Below are 25,223 nucleotides of genomic sequence, written 5' to 3'. Positions count from 1 at the left end.
GTCATTCTCCTAGCTTTGGCCTTGCAAATGTGGTGATAATCACACCAGCAAGGCTGTAGAGGTTTGATCTGGGGCTCATCTAGTCAGTCGAGGAGAACTCAGCATTGCAAACATGCAAATGCTCCATACAAGGGGTGAGCTCCAGAGAGGGTAGGGCATAGGCAGGGATCCTGCTTTGACCCTGCTCTACCACATCCTCTGGAAGCATTGCCCGAATGACTTTTCCATGCCGTATGTGGTGCTAGGCACCTGGCACACAGAGACAGGCAGCTCCTGCCGCTCTGATCACCCATGCCAAGGTGGGCTTCTGCGAGGGGTTTCCTGGGCACGTGCACGTGCCGGCATCTGCCTGCTCAGCTTCCAGTAAACTCAGGTATACCTGGACTACCATGGGCTCCCCTGAGCGGCTTTCCAAGTATAGGAACAGAGAGGCTGTGCACGGGACCCTCATTAACCAAGTCAGTATCAACATGAGTTTCTGGTCACCTGGGGCTACAGTTCCCAAGCCCTGCTCATCTCCTATAGAACCATGTCCGCAATTGTCATGGCTTCTGCTTTTATGGAAACCCCTGAACTAGATCAAAACAAGACCCCATGAAGCTAACACCTTGCTTCTTTAAGAATATTGCTTTACTCAATTTCTTTTCGAATTTCATAGAAAATAGTTTTGTAAATTTTGTTCTGTTAAAGAAGTTGAAAAGAATTAAAGAAGGCAGGAAGTCAGAGTTTGACTTCCCCTGGGCCAGTTAAGAGCCAAATAACCTCGGGCCAGTTCCTTCCTCTCTGTCTCCCCACGTGTAAGATACAGGGGCTGGCACAGGGGTCCCCAGGCCTTTCCAGCTCTGAGGTAGAATGCCAGAGACTGCAGCAATGGGCCTTTTCTCTCTTAATGCCTCCGCCTCTCTGTCCCCTCACAGCTACGTACAAGCCAGAGCTTCCAGGAAAGCAGTCCTTCCTCTACAACGAGGACAAGAAATGGATCCCGGTTCTGTAGGGATGTCACACAAGGTCAAGGAGAACTCCAGCCACCAGCCCACCCTGCCCAGCGTCCCCAGGACATTCCTCAGGAGGAGACCGATCATGAGTGTGGCAGCTGACAACTTGGGGGGTGGCTCTACCACTCTGGCCTGGCATCCTAGCCGGACTGCTGCCATTGCCTTTGTCTTGAGCTGGAGACATTGCTCCCTGGAGACTTCACCCCAGCCCCACAGACTCCAGTGGCTTCCTGAGCAGAAGGGAGGAGTGGACAGAGCCCCCTGGCTGCTTCCCCACGCACCCATCCAGGCTGCCTTCCGGCACGACTCCCTGCCGCAGACTGAAGGGACTCCTGAAGCGCAGACTTCAAGGAGGATCAGTCCACCCTGAAGGTGGCCAAGCCTGGAAGCCCCACCCTTCCCTGTTTCATTCCTTCATTCATTTACACATTCATTCATTCCCTCACTCCTGCCTTTCTCATTTGTCCCTTTCTGACCTCACTCACTTACGGTATGTCTACTGGGCGAAAGCTACCTGCAGGCAGGTGATGCTTTTTCCACCAGTCCACAGCTTCCTTTCTAAAGTGACCACCTGTTTGGAAAGACCTCTCTTTACTCCTTTTAGACCTTTTTCTCTTTGGAGTGGGAGATCATCTTGGAATGGCAGTGGCCGGGCCCGGGGGCTGCGCTTTTCCCTGACTTTCTCTGCTGGCGGGACTGAATTTTCTCAAGGCTTACAGGCCCTTCCATGGAGTCCACATGGCCTGTCTAGGCCTGATAGCTTTCGTCTCTCTATGTGGAGGGAAAAAGAAATGTGCCCTAGTGGTTTTGGTGGAGGCTGCACAGATTCGCGGTGGGTGGGGAGCTGCCAGGCTCCTTTTCTGATCTCCCAGCAGGCTTTGACTGACGCTGTTTAGTCTTTCTGTACATTAACCCCGCCAGATACCGAGAGGTTACAAAGCCTCCAAGGCCTGTACAACTGTGGCCTCTCCAGAGAAGTGGTTCTCAGCCTTGACTGCACACTGTAATCACCTGGGGACTTTAAAAAGTACTGAGGCCTGGGGCCCACCCACAAATGCTGATTTAACTCCTCCAGGGTGGGGTCTGGGCAGTGGGGAGGCAGGAGCCACCCAGGTGATTCCAATGATAGGTGTAGGTTGAGAAGCGCCACCTTCCAGCTTCCTAACTGGCTCTGGGAGGGGAGCTGGGTGGGAAGTTCAGGAGGTGGGAACTTTGTACACGCAGAGCACCTGGAGCACCTACAGCATGGCTGTGGTTCCACACTCCTCTGTCATTTAACCTTCACACATCACCTCGTTCTGACATCAAGGGTGCGTCACAGCCACAGTGAGGCCTCGCCTGGGCAGAGCAACTCTGGGTGCCCCACTGGGTCCCTCCCACAGGGGCAGGCAAGCCTAATGGGAACCCGAGGCAAAAGGAAACATCAGTAATACGAATCCTGTCTTTAAAACTGTGATGTTTTGTTCACCATGGATTTTTTTTTTGGGGGGGGGGGCCTTAATTTTAAAAATATTGCATTAAACTTATTTATCTTGCTTATTGAGCTTTTGGGTACCCCTTAATTTTTGTGCCTTAGGCTAGAGACTCACCTGCCCATAGCCTTGACTCTAGGTAGGGGCTTGGGAATTAGGACCACAGACTGTCAGCGCTGGGAGGTTCTTAGAGGGATCATGGTTTTCACACCTTTTTAAAAAAAGTTTTACTCAGACAGATGTTTACGAGAAACCCAAATATTTAAGTGGAGAGAAGCAGAGCTGCAGTGATGGAGTTAGGGAGGGTACGCAGGGACTGCTGCAGCCCCTTCCTCGCATTGTAGTGGCCTTGGAGACCCACCAGTGAGCCCTGAGGCTCTGAAGATGATAATTACAAACAACCAACAGAGATCATGACCTGCATTTTATAGCCAAAGAAACTGAGGGCTACAGGTAGCAGTGGCTGGTAAGTCTGCTCTCCCAAAGGAAGAAAGACCCACTTCAACTTGGCAGCTTAAAAAAGATAAATGTGGCCGGACACGGTGGCTCACGCCTGTAATCCCAGCACTTTGGGAGGCCGAGGTGGGTGGATCATGATGTCAGGAGATCGAGACCATCCTGGCTAACACGGTGAAACCCCATCTTTACTAAAAATACAAAAAATTAGCCGGGCATGGTGGTGGGCACGTGTAATCCCAGCTACTCAGGAGGCTGAGGCAGAATGGCGTGAACCCGGGAGGCGGAGCTTGCAGCGAGTCGAGATCGTGCCACTCCACTCCAGCCTGGGCGACAGAGCCAGACTCCGTCTCAAAAAAACAAAAAAAAAGATAAATGAGGCAATGGAGGAACTGATCTAAAAGAGACAAAAACTGGCCAGGTGCAGTGGCTCACGCCTGTAATCCCAGCACTTTGGGAGGCTGAGGCGAGTGGATCACAAGGTCAGGAGTTCGAGACCAGCCTGGCCAATATGGTGAAACCCCGTCTCTACTAAAAATACAAAAATTAGCCAAGCGTGGTGTCAGGCACCTGTAGTCCCAGCTACTCAGGAGGCTGAGGCAGGAGAATCGCTTGAACCCGGGAGGCGGAGGTTGCAGTGAGCCAAGATCATGCCACTGCACTCCAGCCTGGGTGACAAAGCGAGGCTCCATCGCAAGAAAAAAAAAAAAAAAAAGATAAATGAAAAGAAAGCAAGCCTGAATCTGTGATTTGTTCTCTAAGGAAAATAAAGGCCTTGATTTGTAGCATTTGTCAATTTCTGACTGTCACCATGGCTGATTTCAATGTGCCAACATGACCACACTCCTTCAGAGTTGGGAAGAGATACCTGCAATTGCTTCTGTGAGCTGTAGGAGCTGGCTGCAGGGAACGTGGCTTGGCCTAGAGAGTAGGCGCAGAGCTGGCACAAGACTCAGGTCATGTGGCTCCCAGCCTTGGGTGCTGCCTGATGGCCTCAGCTGTGAGGTCCTCTTCAAGCTCATTCTACACCCTTCCCAGGACTTTCTCTGCAGAGTCAATGATCCTGAGGCTGTAACATTCAAACACAAACATCTGGGCATCAGGAATCTGCTGCCTTCCAGAGGGGGCACCTCTGCTCCACCGGTGCCCTGCACGTCCCAGCATCCTTCAAGTCCAGGGCAACCCGTTCTCCGCACAGAGCCAGAGCGAAGGGAGAAAGAGGAGCGAGGCCCCGACCAATGTAGCCATCTCTTTCCAGCAGACTCTCCCAAAAGGAACGAGAGCAGCATGTGAAGTAATGTGACGTAATACATAGATAGATTTTTATTACTAAATACCACGTGAGTATACAAAATGCATCACTGAATAACAGCTAAAAAAAGTCCAAGAAATGTGAAATACACATTTTTTGAAATGATAAAAACATATCCATGAAAAATATAAAATGTTGCATATATATACAGTATATTTATATATATATATAACAAATGAAAATCGTAAATAAGAAATGTATACAACAGTGAGTGGCAAGGCAGTAGTTTTACACAGCGGTCACTTTGTTCCAGTCGATCGTTAGTGCTATTTACATCCTGCGCTGAGGAAGTCTGAGAAAGAGACTCCAATATAGTGTCTTTTAAAAGTCATTTGCACTGAAAATCAAGAGTTTTCAAGTTAACTGACCAAAGGTTGAGAAATCCTTTGTCTGAAGTTGAAGGAAGACAGAGAGTGGGGGCCGCACCAGCTGGCGTGGTGCTGCGGGAGGGAGCGTGTGCCGCCACCATCTTAACGGGCAGCCTGCAGGAGCACCACTGCAGACAAGGGTCTTGGGAGGAGGGAACAGTCTTCTGGGTAGGTGGTAACCATGGTGACATTGTTTTGGGGTACGGGGAGGCACTGGCAGGAAGTTCAGGGAGCAGATTCAAGCATACCATGGGGATCCAGGCCAGGGGACCCCCTAGGTCTCTCCCTGGCCCTGACGTCTGTGGGTCTGTGACTCAAGGGCCTCTTCCCTCAGGGAAGGCATTCAAGTAACAGCGCTGAGGCATGTGGAGAGGTTGTGTGTGGCGTGGGGCCACGTCCCTGCTGGCCCCTTGCAGGTCGTGAGGGTTTGGATGCTCGAGAGGCCTTACAGCTCCTTAAGGATGATCTGAATTTTGCCGTCCAGCTCCCCCATGTCCAGCAGGAAGGCGACGTGGTTGCTGTAATGCTGAATGATGTTGTTGTCCATGTTGACTAAGATTCTGGAATGGAAGAGGGGATGTGGTTGGAACACAGCAGGCGCCCTGTTTTCAGGCCTTCTGAGTGACCAGGATGAGTGATGGGTCATACCCAGTGGGTACCTGCCACATTTTAGGCACCTCACAAACCTTCCCTCTGATCCTCACAACAACCCCACGAGGTGAGGGAGTCACAGTCTCCTTTACTGCACAATGCCCAGTGGCCGAGCCACAACCCAACCCAGGCCTGCTGGCCCCCACACTCACAGCTACTGCGCCGGATTGCCTCTCTCCTGGTACACCCGAGGATGGACACTCAAGCAACTAGTATGTAGATCTGGGGGAGACGCAGTGCTCCCTTAGTCACCATATTGAGGACTCGGACATGAAGTGTGAGTTCAAGCCCCGGAGGGGTGGTGGGTTGGGTTCAACAAGAGGCTAGGATGTGTCCCTCAGGCATGCCTGAGCCAGAGGCAGGTGCCACACAAGCCCCTCCCAGTTCCATTCCCAGGAAGCTGAAATCTCAGGAGGATTGTCCGATAGACTTGAGGGGCTAGGCCCACTCTCTCCCCATATTCTCCAGGCAAGGACCTGGGTCAACCTGAGAGAGACGGAATCTTCATGGCTGTGGGCCCCTGCAGGGAGTCAGAGCCATTGTTTATGCCAAAGAAAGAGCAGCCCTCTAGAAGCTGCTCCTGATGAAGGACCCACCAAGATGTGACTTGAGCTGATCACATCAACCTTCTCCTTGCCCCTTCCCTGCTGTCTTCTGAGCATGTAATGGAGTTGGGTATATCCACCCACACATTCACCATCCACCATTCATTCACATACACACACTCCCCATCCATCATCCACCCACCCAACCACACCCCCATCCACCATCTACCCACCCATACACACCCCCATCTACCCTCTACTACACACCCACACACACACCTACCTGGCATCTACTCGTCCATCTACCCACTCATGCACCATCTACCCACACCCCCACCCATCCACCATCCTCCATCCACCTGCCCACCTGCCGTCATCTTCCCATTCATCCCCTATATTCACTGAGGCCTTTCCATGTGCAGGGCTTTGCTCAAAAACAAGGACCATATGGAGATGAATTAGACCTAGTTCCTGCCTTCCAGGAGTTTTGAATCTAGTAGGGACTGGGAGGATGAATCCTCATATTACCCCAGTTCATAAATGGGGAAGCTGAGGTTCAAAGAAACAAAGTTATTTGTCTAAGGTCACACAGTTCATAGATGGCAGGGCTGGGATTTGAACCTTTTCTCTTTCTACTGTATCATTTTTAGAAGGAAACAAAGCCCTATAAATACAAGTTAAGAAGCAGCAGATAGAAGGAAGGCAAAATCCAGGGCTATGGGAGAGTTCTTTGAAGTGGCGCAGGAGCGGCAGGCACGAGGACCCCCCGAGGGCAATGGAGACAACATGGACCCGAAGGCATGGCCCACATCCAGTTGTCTCTCCCTGCCGCTCTCAGGAAGAAGGTCCAGGCTTGGGCTGTCAGTGGTTTGAGCGCTGACTGCCAATGTGTAATCATAGGCTCCCCTTTCTTGGGTCCTGCCTGGAGTTCCTTCATTTCACAGAGGGCTCTTTGGGCACGGGAGGTCGGAAACAGACCAGGGGAGACCAGAACTGGGCAGAGGGGTGGGTCCTTTTTCAAAATCAGGGTTGTTTTGTCTGCCATTGATTGCGTGCTTCTAGGTGCCAGGCACTGTGAAGTAACTGATATGTACCAGCTGGAAGGCTGGATCCGTCCCACTCCCTAGCAGGGCCTTCCAGCGCCCTGAGCTCACACCTGCTCACATCTGCCAAGCTCACACCTGCTCACACCTGCACAAGAGGGCTTCCAGATGGGCCCACAGACCCCTCTTCTCAAAAGTTAATGACAGCGGGCCCCTGAGAGGCAGTACCACTGTCACCAAATGTGGGCCTCTTGTTACTTGCCACCTTCTAGCTGTCTTCAGTCCTGAGTCACATTAAACCCCTGGCCAGCTGCCAGCAAAAACAATGTATTTGCTCATCTTTGCAGCACTTAGTGGGGCCTGTAAAGCTGACTCTATCCACCTTCATCCAGAGGACTTTCGGGAGGGTTTTATGAAAATAAACCAGGCCTTTGATCAGAATTTCCTGTTTCTCACATGAGGACTCAGAGGGAGGCAGAAGATGAGCCTGGCCTCTCCTCTCCTAAGATCTATTTTGGGGAACACTGTCATTCAGACATTTCAGACAGTCCTGGGGCTGATGTTTTCACGGCCGTGGGGGTGTGTGGGGTGCCTGTGAAGGGCTGCTGAGTGATGCCCTGGCTATGGTGCTGGGCAAATAAACTGGCCAGCCTGGCTGCATCCTTTATTTGCACATTGCGTAGTGATTAGAGGAACAAGCAGGAGGCAGGATAACAGAGTGGATGCCTGTACAGGCTTTAGAAGTCCAAGATGCTTCTGCCAGTTCCTAACTCATGACCTTGTAACTACTGCAGACCTCAGTTTCCCCATACGTACAAACAGAGATAATGATACCCAGCTCAAAGGGTCAACGAGATGATGCTTGGGAGTGATGCAGCCCAGTGCCTGGCATGTAGGAAGTGCCCCATAAATGGAAGGTTTTAGAATTATGATTTCAATAGCTGGCTGGGGCTTAAGGGGAAGCCTCTGGCAACTCAGCCAGTGGGGCTGGGGAACATCCTTGTACACACACCCCACCCTCCCACCCCCCCATGCAATCACACAGCCTGGCCTGGAGTGGGATTGGTAAGGGAGGCCTGCCACAGGTGGGGCTGGAGCCAGGGGGCATGGGCACTGGAGCTGAAGGGAGAGTGGGGCTGGGCTTGTCTGGGGAAAGCAGAGCCTGCCCTTTGCCGTGAAGTGGATTTCACTCTACAGAGCATGTGAGACTCAGATGGAAACCGAAACTTGGAAAAAAAAGACACACGAAAAACTCTAGACATGCATGCAGCTAAAACCAAAAAAAACCCCCTTCCCAGGGGCTGCAGGGATGGACACCTTCCCCCACCCTCAGCCTTCTATGGAAGGCTAGGAAGGAACCAAGGAGGAGGAAGGCAGGCAGGGCTGGGCCTGTGAGGAAGGCGGCCAGGCCCCTAGGCCTGATGAGATGGGGATTCAGCTTGAGTACAAAACTTGCCTCGCTTTGCAAAGTCTTCTACAAAGGAAGATCCACTTGCAGTAGCCACGGGGCAAGTGGCTGAGCACCTCCAAGGGGCTACTAGCAAATGTCGCTCGAGTTAGACTATCCACAGCAAGAGGATCAGATTGGAGCTGTGGGCAGAGGGGCTAGGAGTGCATTTCCCAGGGCTCTGGTTCTGGGGCCTCTGGGCTGGCAACAGCAATGACAATTCCTCACTGTCTGGGGGCCCTATGCCAGGCTGGTGAAGTCACCTACTCAGGAAGGGCTGCAGAGGACAGGCTCACTAGCTCTGACCAGGGGACTGATGTCTGGAGGACAGTTACCATGTGACCCTACCTCCCTTTCCCAAGGGATCTTCTGAGCAGACAACAAAGGTACTCTGGTGCCCAGGAGCCCATGGTAGGCAGCCAGGCACTGCCTGCCCCCTGGAGGGTACAGCTTTATTCCTGGCCTAGTCTGTCTAGCAAAGATGGAGGAGGCCTGTGGAGCATCCCTGGCTGGATTCCCTCAAAATGACTCCCAATCACAACTCCTTTTCCAGACTCATCGCCAGCCACTCCCTTCCTGCCTACGGCTCTGTCAGTAACAACTTTGTTGGGCCTGCCTGCCTCATGCCTTTGATCCACTTCTCCTGCCCCTGAACACTGCTTATTACCTCTGAGCCTCAGTTTCCTTATCTGTCAAATGAGGACTATGGTATTTACCTCTTAGTATGGTTGTGAGAGTTAAGTAGTGTGTGCTTAGCCTCGTGTCTGACACATAGTGAGTGCTCAAGGGGATGGTGGTCACTATAATCATTATCTTTATAATCAAATGGCTTGGTTTCCCAGTGGCCTTGAACCTGGGTCTTCTGACACATGACCCTCCACTTCTCCCTCCACCCCACCCAGGAGGTCATATATGTAACAACCCTTCCACTTGTCTCCCACTCCCATCCTTCCCAGTTGTGACCCATGTCTGGTCTCTGCAGATGGAGAGGTGACCAGTGGCTTTGGCCTGGCTGGGGAGCTCTCCACCCCAACTCCACATCCCCTCAGCCCCTCCACAAAGGCCAAGTACAAACATTGCTCAGCACTGAGCAACCAGCTGGGGGAGGGTGAACTAGGCACTCACCCTCGCTTGCATTTCTTGTAGACTTTGTAAATGTTCTCTTCAGGGAACCCATACTTCTCAGAGATCTGGAAGGAAAAGACAGGTGATTCATTGCCTGCTGCCCACGCTAGATTTATACAAGTCTTTTATGCCATCACTTTTTTTACTTCCTGATTACAAAAGTAAAACATATGCATATTGTGGGCAAATATGAAGAAGAAAATTACAATCATCTATAATCCTGTTTCTCAGAGATAGACACCATTAACATCTGGGTGTGCATCTTCCCATCTTTTGGTCATGTGTACGTACGGTTGTGTGTATAAATGTTTTTAGGTTCCACATGGTTTTATATATCTTTTTACTTATCATCCTAGTATAAGCCTTCCTATGTCACAACAAACACTTGTCAAGCAGCATTTTTAGTGGCTGAAAAATATCCTGAAGAGCATCTACCATTTCCCTGAACTTGCCCATGAGATATTGAAACTGTCCTAGTGCTGAGGGTGCACCCATGTACCAGCTGGCTGGCCTCGTGCAAGCTACCTGTGGAGACAGGAACAGTGCCCACCTCAGAGGGTTGCTGGAAGAATTAAGTGGATTGATCCACATTAAACACTTAAGACAGCTCCTGGCGCGTACTGAGCCCTGAATAAGCGGTCAGTGTTGTTTTTTTCAGAAGCAGAGCAATGAAGATGCTGCTTGCCCTGCTGGGACAGGGGAAAGCCCAGACATCTCCCCCTTTTAGGCCGGAATTATTAAGCCCATTTGTTGGGCGAGCATGCGGAGCTCAAACAGCATAAGCCACGCGCCCAAGGCCTAGACCCCAGGTTAACTGACTCCGTCACATCCGAAAATGTTGGAACTTACTTCCCTGCATGAGGAGACTGTGGGTCAGAGGCTTGTTGAGTGACCTGCCTGAGATCACACAGCCAGTGTCAGCCTGTCTCCCCAGAGCTTCTGAAGTTTCCTCTGGGGCAGGCACATCCAGTCTGGTCCCAGCTGCACCACCTGGACGTGCAGAACTTCGAACAGGCCACTCTTACTTCTCTGAGCCTCGGTTTCCTCACTTGTAAAATGGGCATAGTAATAGGATGTACACACACTGTGGTTCTGCACACGAACTGAGACGATTGTGTAAAGGGCTCAGCCCAGTGCCTGTCCCAGGGAAACAGCTCTGTAAGACGTCGGTGTTGATTAGTACTAGCTGCCTAGAAGCTGCAGCAAACCTCAGGTCCTGGGTTTCAGGTGGAGGTCATCCTCTCTGGGCATTTTAGAAAAAGGATCAGGTTCAGCTTCTCAGTTATTCTCTACCCTAACAGAGATTCCTCCTGGCAAGAGAGTTCTTAGACGACTATTTCTTTTAATGATGATGTGACTGAAAGCTACCAGGAAGAAGATCTCAAGTCAATCTAAGGAAGAACTCAGGAACTCTCTCACCATCAATTGGACAAATTGGACAAAGACACCATGGGCTGCCCCACAGGTAGTAAACTCTCCATTCCTGGAGGTACACGGGTCAAAAGTGGGCACCAGCTTGGAAGCGCTGCTGGAGAGAGGGAGTGCAGGCACTAGATGGGGAGCTGACCCTTTAAGGTATTGTCCAACCCAAAGCCTCTGAGTCTATATTTAGGTGACATTAATGGTCTTTTGTGAGCCCAGCTTCCTGGGGCTGATGCCGAGCAGGGCTGACGGTGCGTAAAGAGAACAAGCAGCCGAGTAGCATGAGGAGAGCCTGGGCTGGCATCCCGGCTCTGTCACCTGGAGCTGAGTAACCCTGGCAAGTCACCTGACCTCTCGGAGGCTGTGTCCTTGCGGGAAATGAGGAGATACGAATAGTACCCACTTTTCAGGGTTGTTAAGGGCACATGATGAGCCAGTGCAGGCGGCATGTCTGACCAACTGCCTGGCACATAGTGGGCCTTCAACAAAGGTCAGCTAGCGTTACTATTTGATGCCATTTTCACTCCGCCAGCCTGAAATCTTGACACCATCTGGCTTTTCCGAGTGGTTCCACCTTCAGCCACAGCTGACCCTGGTGGACGCTGTGTTTGCTTAGTTTTTGGTGGAGCCACAAAGCTGGCTATGGGTTTTATTCAGGACTGGGCTGTTTTGCCCACTCTCTGGTGGTGTGGGGGGCTGGGGAAGGTCTCCTTGCACAGACATTGCCTTCAGCTACCCCAGCCAGCGGCCCCCAGCCAACCACAAGCAGGCAGAATGAGGCCCCCTGGGAAAGAAAAAGAGAGCGTCTCTGGGGCCTGGCCTTTTTGGGTTCCATTCCCATTAAAACAGAAACAGGTTTGCAAAGCCAACAAAAAACCCTGGCCTGTCAGACAGCAGCCATCAGATCAAGGAGGATTTATGGTGTGTGCGACTCCCAGGGTGGAGTCAGGGTTCTGGCTGGGAGATAACATCGCAGAGGCACACCCCCACCGGCAGGGCCCCTCAGGCCCCCTGGACAGGGTGGGACGGGTAGGCCACCGGCATGCCAAGGTTCCCTCCTGTGGGAAATCAGAACTGCGTGGTGAGGAGTGGGGACAGGAGCCTAGAGGGGGTCTGCCATGGGGGGCGGGGTCCACAGGCAGCTTACCGCATTCCTCAGCCCCTTCAGGTCTGGGGTCTTCAACATGAGCGCGTCAAACACCTCCTCAGTCTCCCTCCGCACATACAGCAGAACTGAAAAGCAAGGGCCAGCTTGAGTGCAAGGAAGATAATGTGAACAGGATCATCTCAGGGGCTGGGGAATCTGAAAACGTTACTTGAAGATTGACTTCTGCTGCGGGTCTTTGCCCAGCTGGGAGGCCCTTTGGCCGGCTCTGCAGATTCCCATGCACCCTCTTAAGCTGTGCTTATGTGGGGGTGTCTGAACCCCTGCTCTACTACCTGCCAGCCAGGTGACCTTGCAAACGTGATTTTAACATCACGGAGCCTGATTTTATTTGCATGTAAAATGGAGGCTCTGTCCGCTGTTTCGTAGAGTCATTGTGGGAATTGATGGCAGTGTCTGGAAACACGAGGTGCCACGCAAAGCTCGATTCATGGCTGCTGGAAGCTTTTGAGCTTAGCTGCTAGTTGGTTTCTTCCTGATGGCCAGCTACAGCCCCCAGAGGTTTGGGCTTGTTCCCCACCCCAAGGAAGTAACAGATTTAGAGGGTCAAAGCAAGAAAGCCAGACATCAAAACCCCACCCTTCTCCCACTCCCCATCAGAAAAAGTGGGAGAGGGGGGACTCGCCCAGCATAATCAGCCTGCTGACTATGCCAGCTGCCCAGGACTCCCACGTCCACACGAGGTCAGGAGACAGAAGCCGCCAGTCCTGTGGTGGTCTCTCCAAGCAGCCTGAGGTTCCCTCCTTACCCCCACCCCCAAGTCTTAACCTAAACCTAGCTCCAAGGGGTAAGGCAGCGCCTCGTGCCCCACCCCAAGGAGGCTTTGGGAAAGCCCATGAGGGAGGTGGGAGCTGGGGTGGGCCTGGTGAGTAAATGAGGAGGGCGGGAGGTCACCTCTCTGAAGGTCGCCTTCCTTGGCCTGCTTGGAGGGCAGAGGCTCAAACTCCTCAGTGAAGGGCGAGCAGGTACGCTTCAGAGGCAGCCTGTGGGGATGGCAGTGGGGGAGCTTGTGAGAAACTTGGGGACCCCTAGAGGCTCAAGGACCCTGCTGGGCCTCCAGGGGCCCTAGAAATGGGGAAGAAAACACAAGGGTGGATGCAAAGCAGAGGGACAGTGGGGGTAAAGCAGCAGGTCTGGAGTTGGACTGCCTGGGTTTGAATCCCAGCCCTGCCACGCACTAGGTGTGTGACCTGGGTGAGTCCCTTAGCCCATCAGTGACCCCATGTATAAAATGGGATGATGAGAAAGCAATGATAGCAATACTTCATAGAGGGATGTGAGGCCACAGGAGACCATGCTCACTGCGCTTAGAACACTGTGACGCACAGGAGGGCCTCAATAAATGTGGACTCATCGTCATCATCATCGTTCCTTTTTAAAAGAAGTCAGGTCAGATGTGAGGCGGGGTGGGGGGGTGGAAGGACTGGGGGCTTTGGAGTAAGACAGGCTTGGGGTCCAGTCCTGCTGCGGTGACTTTCACAGCTAGAAGGCACTTCACTTCTCTGAGCCTCAGTTTCCGCATCCATAAAGCAAGGCAATAACCCTGCTTGCCTAACTCTGAGGCTGTTGTGAGGTGACAAGTGACATAATTTGGGGTGAAAGCACCAAGTGAAAAGTACATTTTGTTCATAGGGAAGAAACTGATCATAACAGCAAATGATCTTCATAAAGTGCTTTCCCACTTACGAAGATTCCATATCCACACCGCCCTCCTCACCCTCTCGAGGCTGTTTTCCTCATCTGACAAATGTGTAGGCTGAGGCTCAGAGAGGTGAAGGGACTGCTCAGGGCACTAAGGCTGTGACTGACAGAGGGAAGGACACAAAGGCCCTTCCTAGGCCAAAGTGTCAAGGGGTGCCGGCCCCAGCTAGGCCCCCCAGTGGGGGTGTGTTGGGGAAGGAGATGGAGGGTTTTCATCCCCTAAGCCTCCAGCACAGCTTCCCTCTTCTCTCTGAATCTGCACCACCACAGACTCTTTTCCTTTCCCTTTTTACAAGCGGGTGTCTCGCCAGAGATTCGCCGACTTTTCACATAAAACAAACCCATAAAAACCCAGGCAGTTTCAGTGAGAAAGAAGCATGGATCTAGCTTGGGGGCTGGGGGCAGAAGCTGGTGGCTTCCTCCTCTGGCCCCACACCCTAGCTTGCAAGGAACAGGGAGAAAAGCAGGCTGGGGGCAATGGGCATGGTACAGTGGGCATGGTACAGAGGGCACAGGTGTAGAGGGGGTACAGGTGTGGCGGAGGCACAGGTGTGGAGGGGCACAGGTGTGGAGGGGGCACAGGTGTGGAGGGGGCACAGGTGTGGAGGCGCACAGGTGTGGAGGGGGCACAGGTGTAGAGGGGGCACAGGTGTAGAGGGGGCACAGGTGTGGAGGGGGCACAGGTGTAGAGGGGGCACAGGTGTGGAGGGGCACAGGTGTAAAGGGGGCACAGGTGTGGAGGGGCACAGGTGTAGAGGGGGCACAGGTGTGGAGGGGCACAGGTGTGGAGGGGGCACAGGTGTAGAGGGGGCACAGGTGTGGCGGAGGCACAGGTGTGGAGGGGGCACAGGTGTGGAGGGTGCACAGGTGTGGAGGGAGGCGTGTGGTTGTTTCTCTCCATACCTGTTGGAGCTGCTGGGTCCTGCCGAGGGGGCTGCCTGCAATGAAGTGAAAAAGACATTTTCCATCACACGCAGGAAAATGAGAGGAGCCCCTGGCTGCTGGAGGCTCTCTGGGAGGAATATTTTTGGTGGGAGGTGGGGAGAATACTGTTACAATGCCTTTCTAGCCCATTCTGCTCAGACAAGTGCCCTTAAGTGACCTGAGATGTTGAGTGGAAAGGAATCACCCAGCCCGAGCTGGATGGGTCAAGGACTCAATGAACACACAGGAGGTGCTAAAGCCATGTTGTCAGAGCAGAGTCACACTGAGCCCCACCTGGGCCCCAGCATGCCCAGAAGGGCTGGGAATTGCAGATGGTCCTGCGGCCGGTAACTAGGCAGTTGGAGCTGAGGGCCAAGGGAGCAAGGGCAACAGGGCTTTTTTTTTTTTTTTTTTTTTTTTTTTTTCTGGGGGGAAAGAGTCTCCCAGGCTGGAGTGCAGTCCCACCATCACAGCTCACTGCAGCCTCGACCTCCTGGGCTGAAGCAATCCTGCGGCCTCAGCTTCCCAAGTAGCTGGGATTACAGGTGTGTGCCACTAAGCCTGGCCAGAGGCCCTCTTCTTGGACCCTACAGTGTGCCTGGCACTGTGCGGTGTGGGGCAGGCATCAGTCAGTCTTGTGAGGTAAGAAGCTGAGGCCTAGAGAGAGCAGAGAGCTCTAGAGATGACACGCCCGGCAGGAGGCAGAGTCAGGGTTCAAACTCAGGCTCTCTGTTGGCTATTGCCCTGGGCTTCCCCTCTCCCAGGCTCACAGGTGTGGAGACTGGCCCACCCTCAACCCCCACAGGTTGACTGTCAACCTAGCCACAGGGGCCTTCACCCTGAGTGGTCATCTCCTTACTGAGGGCCTCTAGTTGGTGAGAGAGTGAGGAGAGCCAAGAGAGAACAGGTTCACACAGCCGCCTGTGCTGCGGGGCCACAGCGCAGCTCCCAAGATGGCAAAGAGAGGAGGGACACAGACAGTGCTCTGCGCCTGTGCCAAGCTCTGTCAGCACTGGCCGCTCTTCTCAGCGCCACTGTCTACACCTCATTGTCCTAAGTCAATACACTAAACATGCCTTGTACACCAAGGTCCATTTGTATAAATATTCCTGAAGAAACAGTGCGGAGCTGTACCCTTAAAGGAAGGAAATGCTCAGACTCTCCAGTATGGAAGCGCACTAGGAGACAGGCTCTGGGGTCTTGACCCTGCCATTGAATTGTTGTGGGACCGTGCCTGGAAAAGGGGGTAGGTGCAGTCTCTCGGAGGACAGCTGTAACAGGGAACCCAGCCCACTCCTGGCTGCCAGGCGCTCAGTCCCGGCTGCTTGAGAGGCGGAGCAGCTAGTGGGGAAAGGTGTGGATTCTGAACAGGTGCCTCAGTCCAGATCCTGGCTCTGCCACTTACTAGCTGTGCAATCTCAGGAGGTTTCTTAACTTCTCTGTGCCTCCATTTCTACCCCACAGATCCAGGGAGACATTATTATTGACTTCCCAGGGCTGTAGAGAAGGGTAAGGACGGTGATGCCTGGGAAGCGCTCAGAGCCGCACCTGGCACACAGTGAGCACCACAAGTGCTGCCGTGAGAATTCCATGGGGCTGCAATCAAATTTGGGGTCAGATATCAGAAGCCTCCTCTTTGTGTGCCCTAAGCATGAACGTTTTAATGGTTACGAAATCTGTTTCTTCATAACATTCTTCTCTTCAATACAATAGGTCACTGAAGCTATAGGACCATATATACATGTTTAAACCCCTATGATTCAATAAAGGTCTTGAAACTGGCTGAGGGGCAGGCTGCTCCCCACTGGTCTGTGCTAAGGCAGGCCCCACCTAGGAGCCAGGACCCTCTCTCGGCTCCTTCCCGAGACCCCAGCCCTGGCCTCACCCCTCCAGAGCGCTGCAGGCTGGAGAAGTGCACATTGGGGATGAACAGCACGGGTGGCGTCTCCAGGTCAGTCTCTGGCCGAAGGTAGGTCGTCTCATTGCCCCTGAAGCCCGACAGCAGGCAGCCCTTGACGCCTGATGGGAGAAGGAAGCCAATGTGCCCCGAGGTCCCTCCACTCAAGTCCCTCCCACCTCTGGTCTCCTTCTCCCCTTCACGCCAGCCGAGCCCACCCAGGCCCTGGATCCCCACTGACCACTGTTGCTGGAGTCAGGGCACTTGACCTTCCTCCGGAACTGCTTCCGCTCGTCATCGCGCATCTTCCTCTCAGCTCCCTGCAGGGGAGAAGGAGAGAGGGTCACCAAGGGCCTGGGAGGGGCTAGCTACTTTCACAGCTGCTGCTTTGCATCTTAAATATGGGCCAAGCTTCTGGTCCTTCTTTTTTCCAGAACAAGACCAGGAAATGGGAAGGTACCAGCACTTACCTGGCCCAGCCTGGCCAGTGGGGCCTGGCCCTGCTTGCCTGAGGTCACTACAGGCCATGAGAGAGGCGGACAGACAGAAGACAGAAAAGAAGAAACTCAGAGAGACAGAGAGATGGAGGAGTGGGGGTGGAGGAGGAGAGGGGAAGGAGGAGAAGGGATAGAAAAACAGAGAGAGACAGACAACCCAGAGAAGCTAGGAGGACGCACGGGTCAGGGTTTGGCCCTTCTACCTCCCCGGGACCCAGTATAGGGTCTGCCCAGTCCAGCCACCTTGTCACAGAAGATCTTGATCTGGCAGACAGCACGGTGTACCAGGCGCTCAGTGCCCAAGCCACAGTCATAGGTGTCAATCTGCAGGTTCAGGGGGACACCCTTCACCCCCTTTTGTGAGGAAAAGTCTGTGCTCAGACAGTTTACGCCGATGAACACCTGGAGACAGAGGGGGCCGCTGGGTAAGTGGCCTGCCCAGGTGGCCAGCCCCACCGTCCCACAGTGATCCTGTATTTCTAGCTTTCTGTGTGCCTGCTGCTCACCCTTAAGCCTCACTAGGCCCCTAGAAGGCAAACATCAGCACTCCTCTTTCACAGATGGGGAAGCCAATGCTCAGAGAGGTGGGGCAACTTTCCCGAGGTGACACGGGCAGTGTGTGGTGCAGCAGGGGTTTGAACCCAGACTCACAGCCCAGGCTTTTCACCGCTGTTGGTACAGTTTCCGCTAGACTGCCAAGGGCAGCCCAAGGGGTGGAGACTGGGGGGGATGTCAAGAGTCCTATAGGAGCTTAAGATCCAGAGCCTCGTTTTTCTGCAACTCAGGACAAGGAGGTGGAAAAGGGCTGAGTCCCCTGTCCCCAGCACAAGGAGACCACTTTCCTGCTGGCCCAGAGACACAGCCCCTCTCCACCCCAACCACCCACTCCAGCCATAGCAGGACCCTCTAGTGAGAGGTTCTTTCAGCTGATTTGATCCCACCCCACATACAGCAAGGGAGCATCCTAGTCACCCCATCTTACAGCCGGGGAAACAGATGCTCTGAGCAGGGCTATAATTGCTGCCGTTCCCCTAGGGAGTCAGGCGTGGGGCATAACAAAGTGAGCCTGGAGGAGGGGCCGCCCACATCTGCTGCAGGAAGCTGGGCTCTGCCGCTCACTAGCCATATACGGCTTCAGACAAATCCTTTCACCTCACTGAGCCTCGGTTTCCTTGTCTGCAGAATGAGGATAATGAAACCTATCTTGTGTGGCTGTGGGGTGTGTAGGCTTGATATGTTATAACCGTTGCCATGAGAGGGACAGCTGGAAGTCTCATCCCAAAGCCTATGCCCAACTGATGGTCGCCTGGGGTCAGTCTCAGCGGGGCAAACCCTGGCAAGGTCACCTGGTGATTGTCCTCCTCTGGGGCTCCATGGGAACCCCGGTCCCCCCGACGCAGGCTGGCCCCTGGTCTTTGGAACATTTCCTTTGGAAATGACCCTGATGCAAACAGGATGTGGGGGGGTGTGTCTGAGCAGACCCCCTTCTTTCCCTGGCTGTGCAGACCAGGCCCCCAGGCACATGCCAGACATACCTCCCCCTCAGCCAGCTCTGCCCTCATGCAGCCCCCGCCCAGCTCGCACCTGAGAAAGACCCAAGCCTGGGGGCTTAAAAGGCTGTGAGAAAATCCCCACCGAAACCCATCTCTCCCTTCCCACGAAACTCCCCACTCCCTGAACCCAAGGCCCCAGCTCCTCCTCCAGCCCGGTGCCAGTCTGAATAATAATAATCCCTGCCTTTGTGCTCCCTTTGTGTTTTCTGAGCTCCTGCACCTCCATCTTCTCCAGGCAGCCTGGCCATCCCTGGAGGCAGGCAGGGAGGCAGGGGTTAGCTCCCCAGCCTCTCCAGGCCAGAAATGCCCCTGAGATGAGCTGGACCTGACCCTGCTGAGTGAGGTAAGCCTGGTCCAGGGAGGGGAAGGGACAGGCCGAAGGTGCTCAGCTCCTGACTCCCACACTAGTGCCTCTCCACCATGCTGGCTCTCTAAACAGCAAACCAAGACACAGCGAGGCCCATGCGCACATGGCAAGCCCGCGGCTGGGCTCAAGCACTAAGGCTGGAAGAATCTTAATGGCTTAACTACTGGCATGAAAACATCACCAGAGGCTCCATCTCTCAGGCCTCTCCGGTTTGTAGACATGCATGATCTTGTGGGCTCTGCACTCCAATCCTAGCAGGCAGGTTACTGTTCTCATTTTTACAGGCTCAGAGAAGTGAGATAACTGGGATTCGAGCCCTCATTCACCGGACTCCTTCGCATTTCTCCTGCATGCGACATTCTGCGCTGGCCAAGAAGTCAGGAAACGTGGGTGCCCCCAGTGGCTTGCTGTGTGACCATGCAAAAGGCTCAGTTTTCCCATCTAGTAAATGGGTGGACTGGAGTAATATCAACAGTTGCCACTTTTGGGCCAGGCGTGTGCTCCACCTTTTACTTATCTCACCTGCTCCTCACTACAACCTACCAGTTGGTACTATGATGCCACTCCTATTTTATAGTCAAAACAACTTAGGCTCAGAGGGACTAAGGCACTGGTCCAAAGTCACACTTTGGACCAATAGGTGGAAGGGTGGGATGCGGACCCAGCCTGCCTGGCTCCAAAGCCCAAGCTTCCATACTACACTGCATCCTGCCTCCTCCATGAGTGCCCTCGTCGGAGCAAATGACACTATCCTAGGTGCAAGAAAGCCTCTACCCCAGAATAGGGACTTCCAGGCAGCCCAGTCCCATCCCAGCCACTGCCCTCAGCACTGACCTTGGCCTCTTCATTCACGTTCCACACAAAGGACAGTGCATTATAGGCCACCTCCTCAATGTGCTCCACAGTGTTGAAGTTTTCTTTGCAGTCAGCTGAAACCACAGGAGACCAGAAGGAGAATCAGGAAGGAAGGGATCTGGGACCACTTGAGGAGGGAGGCATTAAAAACTGGGCCTCACTCGGCCGGGCGTGGTTTCTCACGCCTGTAATCCCAGCACTTTGGGAGGCCGAGGCAGGGGGATCACAAGGTCAGGAGATGGAGACCATCCTGGCTAACATGGTGAAACCCTGTTTCTACTAAAAATACAAAAAATTAGCTGGGCATGGTGGCAGGCGCCTGTAGTCTCAGCTACTCGGGAGGCTGAGGCAGGAGAATGGCCTAAGTAAACCTGGAAGGCGGAGGTTGCAGTGAGCCGAGATCGCGCCACTGCACTCTAGCCTGGGTGAGAGAGCGAGACTCTGTCTCAAAAAAAAAAAAGACAAAACTGGGCCTCACTCTTGGCAGGGGCATACATTCTCTCCCCCAAGAACCACACTTCAATCCAGGGAGGAAAAGGGATTCCTGTGCCCTGGATTACAGATGGGAAAACAGGTCCAGCCTGAGAAGCAGATCTGCCCAAAGCCCCAGAGGGAATCCCAAGCTTTGCCAAATAGTCTCATCATGTTGGGGGTAGAGGTTATACTTTTCACCAGGGCTGTGATTTGGGACTTCTCCCAGATGAAGCAGCAGCAGCAGTATGGTAATAACAACAGTAATAGGGGGAGTAAGAGCAGTAGCAAAAGTAGTAGGACTAGCAAGTGCCATTTCTTCAACACTTACAATATGCTAAGCCCTCAGTTCATCCTTCACAACTATGCTTTGAGTATTCAGTTTACATATGAGGAAAACGAAGCTCAGAGAGGTTTGGTTACTTGGCTAAGGTCACTCAGCTAATAAAAGGCAGAATAGGGGCTGAAGCTCAGATCTGTCTGGCTCCTGAACCCATGCTCCTCACTGCTATGCTATCCAGCCTCTCGGACAAGTCATTAAACAGTCCCGTGTGTATCATGTTCCCCAGGGCACATAGCTGCTAAGCTGAAATCAGCATTGTAAGCAGGCAAGGCAGCTGGCCTCAGCCCATTTGAGAGTTGAACAAACTGAGGCTCAGGAAGGTGAGGTGACATAGATCACACAGCCAGGAAGGGAGTAAGGGAGCCAGAAGCTGAAGACTTGAGGGCGGGCTGTGCCTCCCACTTGTTTCAGGGCTAGGGATGGGGACCAGGTGGCCCCCACAGGGAGCCTTTCCCCCGCCCAGCTCCCAAAAGCTGAACGTCCTGTGCTGTGCCTCAGGCCTTCCGAACCTGCTGCCTGCACCTTATCTTGTGCATTTGTGTCTTCATCAGCCTCCTGATGGAGACAAACAGGCCAGCATCGCAGGAGCCTATTTATCTCACACTGCTAGGGTCCCCAGGGCCCTGTTTATCCCAAAGCAATACAGAAAAGACGCCACAACTTCTAGTCAACAGATGCAAATCCTTGCAAACCCCACGGTGTTTGACCTGGAGACAGAGGTCAGAGCCAGGTAGGGAAACAGGGGTGAGTAAGAAAAAGGCCTGATTGATGCGGGGGTGGGGAGAGAGAGGGGAGCTGGAATGGAGGCTTGAGAAGGCTCTCACCCACGTCAATGACCCGCTGCTTGGCAGTGGGTTGCCGGGAATGCCAGTGCTTCCAGAAGCGCAGCTGCTCTACTGGGACCTTCTCATTGTCGAAGACAACCATCACCACACTCTGCAAGCACAGTTGGTCACAGTCACTCCCGGCCTCTTCCTAGAGCCTGGTTCCAATGGCCTGCCCTTTTGCCTCAGTTTCCCCAACCCTGTGGCAATGGGCTATTATCAAACAGCCTTTCCCCAGGGTCCGTGGCTAGCCCAAGGAGGAGGTATATCTTGCCCCATTCCACCCCTTCTGAAGCTGCTCCAGGCCAACGCACCTTGACTTTGTTGGAGGACAAGGCAAGGCCTTTGCCACCTGCTGGGGTCCGCAGGGTGACGGGGTAGAACTGGCCTTTGTTGAGGTAGGCCATGGGTGACTCGCCTGACTTGATGTGGATGGCTTTGGGGGAGCCCAGGGTGTATTCAAAGTCACTGCAGGGAGGAGGGAGAGGACAGTGAGGCTGGGCTCCCAGGCAGGAAGTCTCCTAGAGGGCAGTGGGGCAGGAAGCCTGAGGCTATGTTACAGACTTGCTGTTTGACCTTGGAAAATAACCTTACTTCCTTGGGCCCCAGTTTCCTCAATTTGGGGGTTCTATTTAATGGCTTTGTTGAGCCACAGTCCTGCTGAATAATGAGGGCCCAATGAAAATTAGAGAGAACCTTGAGGGGTGACAAAACCAGGGAAAACTAAGGATAAAAGAACCTCAGTTTTCTGATAAGGTACAAGTTCTGAGCTCCCTATCACAGCCCGGGGACAGGATGTGGGAATCATTCTGTCTCCCTCTATCTATCTGCCTTCATCCCCCACTTCTCATTAATTGATTGTGCCTGCTATGCTCTGGGGACAGTGTGGGGCTCTGTCTGCAGCCTCCTGCCCACTGCCCAGGTGTCTGAGGGTCCAGGGAGACCAAGTTACCTTTTGAGGCTGGGGTAGTCCTCTGGACATGGGGGTTCCGGGGAGGTTTTCAGGATATCTGGGAAGAGCATCGACTGCAGAGAAACACAGCCCCAAGAGAATAAATGCTCACATTCACTCTGGGAAGCCTCAGCCCAGGGCTGTGCATTACAGCTATGCAGGTTGTACAGTGTACAACTTGGACAATAGTACATGGCAATCCCGTCTCAGCTCTAGGATGCTTTCCCCCATGGATTCCAAAGCTCTGATCTGTTCACTATCTTCTCTCATTCTGTATATGCACACACATATCTATGCTATAGGGGAGCGGGGATGCGCCCTCACCTCCTGTGGGTCATCTTTGAAGGTGCTGTCTGGCTGCCAGCGCTGTGTGGGCGGCACCCCATGAATGCTCTCAAACAAGGAGTTGAGGGAGCCATTATCATACATATCAGTGGTGGGTAACAGGTAGCTGTCCACAGAGCCGGCCTCCAGCTTGCTGGGGCCTGCAGGGAGGGGAGCTGCCTTGCCAGGGGTGGGCAAGGCCCCCTCCAAGCTCATCAGGTTATTCTTCTTGAGCAAATCTGGGTACTCTGGGGTTCCAGACACGTTCTCTGTCAGGAATTTCATGAGGTGTGTGGGGCTTTCAAGGGGAGTGAGGTCCGTCTCATATTCCATGCCATGGTAGTACCTGGGGAGAAAGAAAAGGGGCTGAGTGTACTTCTCTCTGGGGGTAAAGGGGGGTCTTTGGCTAGAGTGCAAGGCAACTGACACACTGGCCTTTGATCCAGTGTAATGTTTAGGTCCATCCAGCATGCACGAAATAAGACACTGTAGCAGCCCAATTGGCCACAGGGATGAGCAGGGAGGTGCTGAGAATGGAACCAAGCACAGGCTCAGGGTTAAGGGAGCAACATCTGTTTTATCCATTACAGTACTTATTAAAAAAAAAAAAAACCCTGAAAGTTTAATCGTTTATTTTTAGCCAAAGTCAAATGTCTCTGTGTCAAAACGTCCCTACTTCAAAACAACTGTATTGAGTCAACCCTAGCGGGGTGTGTACAAAGTGGGGAGGGTGGAAGAAACGTGTATCTCTGAGTACAATTAACACATGTTTAGGAAAAGATCTGGAAGGATGTACCCCAAACTGTTAAGCGGGAGAGGGGTACAGGATTATAGGAATTTTTTTTTTACTTTATACATTTCTGAAGAGTTTGAATCTTTTGCAAGAGACTGGTGTTGCTTTTGTAATCAGAAGAGCTAATGATATTTTTAAAAATTAGTTTTGAGTGGCAGGGCGCGGTGGCTCACGCCTGTAATCCCAGCTCTTAGGGAGGCCGAGGCGGGCGGATCACGAGGTCAGGAGATCGAGACCATCCTGGCTAATATGGTGAAACCCCATCTCTACTAAAAATACAAAATATTAGCCGGGCGAGGTGGCGGGAGCCTGTAGTCCCAGCTGCTCGGGAGGCTGAGGCAGAAGAATGGCTTGAACCCGGGAGACGGAGCTTGCAGTGAGCCAAGACCGCGCCACTGCACTCCAGCCTGGGCAACAGAGCGAGACTCCGTCTCAAAAAAAAAAAAAAAATTAGTTTTGAGAAAGGTCCCCATGTACCCAAACCCACTGTTCCTGGCAGTGGAGGGGACTGGCCCTGAGCCAGCTGCAGGCCCAGGCTGGGTTATGAGATGAGCTGCAATGCCTGTTTGAATTTTTCAAAAGGCTTCCCAGCAGAGGCCCTACAGGGTCATTTGTGAGAAGTCACCTGATTGGCCAGGAAGGAGAAAGTGGAGAAAGAGGGACAAGGTCTTTCCAGTGCCCATCTAGTCTTAAGCATGGCCTGGGCCGCTTTCTAAAGGAAAGGAACATCAATGCCCTGGGGCACTAATGCCAGGGGAAGAAGTATGGGAACCCAGATGTCCCTCCCCCAACACAGGTCTCCCTCCCCCAACACAGGTCTCCCTCTCCCAGAGGCTGTGGGTCTTCAGGGGAGAGGGTTTTGAAGCTGAGAAAGAAAAGCTGTCCCCAGGGCTTTTCTATTACTAAGGCTTTGAAGTTTGTTTTCAGTAAACTCCAGCCCACATGGCCTATAGGCATCTGGGGTGTGTGTCTGTGTGTGTGTGTGTGTGTGTGTGTGTGTGTGTGTGTGTGTGTGTGTGTTTTCAAGCTGAGTTTCATTAGGACTTTCAAGAGCCCTAGGCTCTGCCTTCACTGGCCTCTTCCAAAACATTTAAAAATATCTTTAGTAAGTACAATGGTATAAAGATGAATATAATCCAAGTTGGATTATATTGATTTTTTTCTTTTAATTTTAAAATAAATGAAAACATTATCATGAATCCCAAAATGTGTTGTGGGCCCTCAGCACTGTGCCTCCTGTGCCTAATGGATAAGTCAAACCTGTGTGGAAGAGGCTCCAGGTGGAGGTGGGGAAGGGCAAAGAGGCAGAGGGTGTTGGCAAGCCTCACCTCTTTCCTTGGTCATTCCTGCCCCCAGTGCTGGAGGACAATATCCGCTTCTCCTTGGGACCCTGAGAAGAGAGAAAGGAAGGATTTATGCATGGCTAAGCTTCTGCTGGTAGGAGCCTCAATCCCCTCCTGCAGCTTTGGCCAGGCAGGGGAGTAACTTTGGTGATATGGTTCGGCTGTGTCCCCACCCAAATCTCATCTTGAATCGTAGTTCCCATAATCACATGGGAGTGGGAGGTAATTGCATGATGGGGGTGGTTACTCCCATGCTGCTGTTCTCGTGACAGTGAGTTCTCATCGTATCTGATTATTTTATAAGAGGGCTTTCTCCCTTTCGCTCGGGACTTTTCCTTGCTGCCGCCATGTGAAGAAGGATGTGTTTGCTTCCCCTTC

The 25,223-nt window shown here is 52.9% G+C and overlaps 2 protein-coding genes across 12 annotated transcripts in view, besides 7 other annotated features; one reads left to right on the top strand and one right to left on the bottom strand.

Moving 5' to 3' along the window:
- The window catches only part of STPG1 (sperm tail PG-rich repeat containing 1), a 58,046-nt gene extending 55,508 nt beyond the window's left edge, over positions 1-2,538 (top strand). For all 6 annotated transcript variants that reach the window (XM_011542403.3, NM_001199012.2, XM_047433681.1 and 3 more), the window contains one exon: positions 918-2,538. In XM_011542403.3, the coding sequence (XP_011540705.2) occupies positions 918-994 (77 nt within the window). In that variant the 3' untranslated portion in view covers positions 995-2,538. The remainder of the gene's footprint in view (positions 1-917) is intronic.
- Positions 1-25,223, bottom strand: part of GRHL3 (grainyhead like transcription factor 3) — a 45,126-nt gene that overhangs the window by 4,946 nt on the left and 14,957 nt on the right. For 5 of the 6 annotated variants that reach the window (NM_001195010.2, NM_198173.3, XM_011541870.3 and 2 more), the window contains 14 exons: positions 24,831-24,892; positions 22,710-23,055; positions 22,386-22,459; positions 21,748-21,901; positions 21,434-21,545; positions 19,775-19,869; positions 17,264-17,422; positions 16,765-16,843; positions 16,512-16,645; positions 14,606-14,640; positions 12,896-12,984; positions 11,984-12,069; positions 9,415-9,479; positions 4,219-5,163 (listed from right to left, as the gene is read on the bottom strand). In NM_001195010.2, coding sequence (NP_001181939.1) covers positions 5,049-5,163; positions 9,415-9,479; positions 11,984-12,069; positions 12,896-12,984; positions 14,606-14,640; positions 16,512-16,645; positions 16,765-16,843; positions 17,264-17,422; positions 19,775-19,869; positions 21,434-21,545; positions 21,748-21,901; positions 22,386-22,459; positions 22,710-23,055; positions 24,831-24,892 — 1,605 coding nt within the window. In that variant the 3' untranslated portion in view covers positions 4,219-5,048. Of the gene's footprint in view, positions 1-4,218; positions 5,164-9,414; positions 9,480-11,983; positions 12,070-12,895; positions 12,985-14,605; positions 14,641-16,511; positions 16,646-16,764; positions 16,844-17,263; positions 17,423-19,774; positions 19,870-21,433; positions 21,546-21,747; positions 21,902-22,385; positions 22,460-22,709; positions 23,056-24,830; positions 24,893-25,223 lie in introns of those variants that run through there. The other variant, NM_198174.3, reaches the window with a different exon arrangement.
- Positions 7,070-7,119: an enhancer, noted in NCBI's record as "active region_396". NCBI's record gives its function as "activates an Ori minimal core promoter by ATAC-STARR-seq in GM12878 lymphoblastoid cells {active_cell/tissue: GM12878}" and the evidence as "EXISTENCE:reporter gene assay evidence [ECO:0000049][PMID:35858748]".
- Positions 8,007-8,136: an enhancer, noted in NCBI's record as "active region_395". NCBI's record gives its function as "activates an Ori minimal core promoter by ATAC-STARR-seq in GM12878 lymphoblastoid cells {active_cell/tissue: GM12878}" and the evidence as "EXISTENCE:reporter gene assay evidence [ECO:0000049][PMID:35858748]".
- Positions 8,177-8,266: an enhancer, noted in NCBI's record as "active region_394". NCBI's record gives its function as "activates an Ori minimal core promoter by ATAC-STARR-seq in GM12878 lymphoblastoid cells {active_cell/tissue: GM12878}" and the evidence as "EXISTENCE:reporter gene assay evidence [ECO:0000049][PMID:35858748]".
- Positions 16,164-16,978: an enhancer, noted in NCBI's record as "H3K27ac-H3K4me1 hESC enhancer chr1:24669049-24669863 (GRCh37/hg19 assembly coordinates)". NCBI's record gives its function as "activates a minimal SCP1, AML or CMV promoter by ChIP-STARR-seq in primed H9 embryonic stem cells {active_cell/tissue: H9 hESC(primed)}" and the evidence as "EXISTENCE:reporter gene assay evidence [ECO:0000049][PMID:30033119]".
- Positions 20,758-21,384: an enhancer, noted in NCBI's record as "H3K4me1 hESC enhancer chr1:24664643-24665269 (GRCh37/hg19 assembly coordinates)". NCBI's record gives its function as "activates a minimal SCP1, AML or CMV promoter by ChIP-STARR-seq in primed H9 embryonic stem cells {active_cell/tissue: H9 hESC(primed)}" and the evidence as "EXISTENCE:reporter gene assay evidence [ECO:0000049][PMID:30033119]".
- Positions 21,385-22,013: an enhancer, noted in NCBI's record as "H3K4me1 hESC enhancer chr1:24664014-24664642 (GRCh37/hg19 assembly coordinates)". NCBI's record gives its function as "activates a minimal SCP1, AML or CMV promoter by ChIP-STARR-seq in naive H9 embryonic stem cells {active_cell/tissue: H9 hESC(naive)}" and the evidence as "EXISTENCE:reporter gene assay evidence [ECO:0000049][PMID:30033119]".
- Positions 23,999-24,621: an enhancer, noted in NCBI's record as "NANOG-H3K4me1 hESC enhancer chr1:24661406-24662028 (GRCh37/hg19 assembly coordinates)". NCBI's record gives its function as "activates a minimal SCP1, AML or CMV promoter by ChIP-STARR-seq in naive H9 embryonic stem cells {active_cell/tissue: H9 hESC(naive)}" and the evidence as "EXISTENCE:reporter gene assay evidence [ECO:0000049][PMID:30033119]".

Source organism: Homo sapiens, chromosome 1, assembly GCF_000001405.40.
Source record: "Homo sapiens chromosome 1, GRCh38.p14 Primary Assembly".
In the NCBI taxonomy this organism is placed as follows: Eukaryota; Metazoa; Chordata; class Mammalia; order Primates; family Hominidae; genus Homo; species Homo sapiens.
Note: the sequence above shows the minus strand (reverse complement) of the source record. Positions and strands in the feature narration are given on the sequence as shown.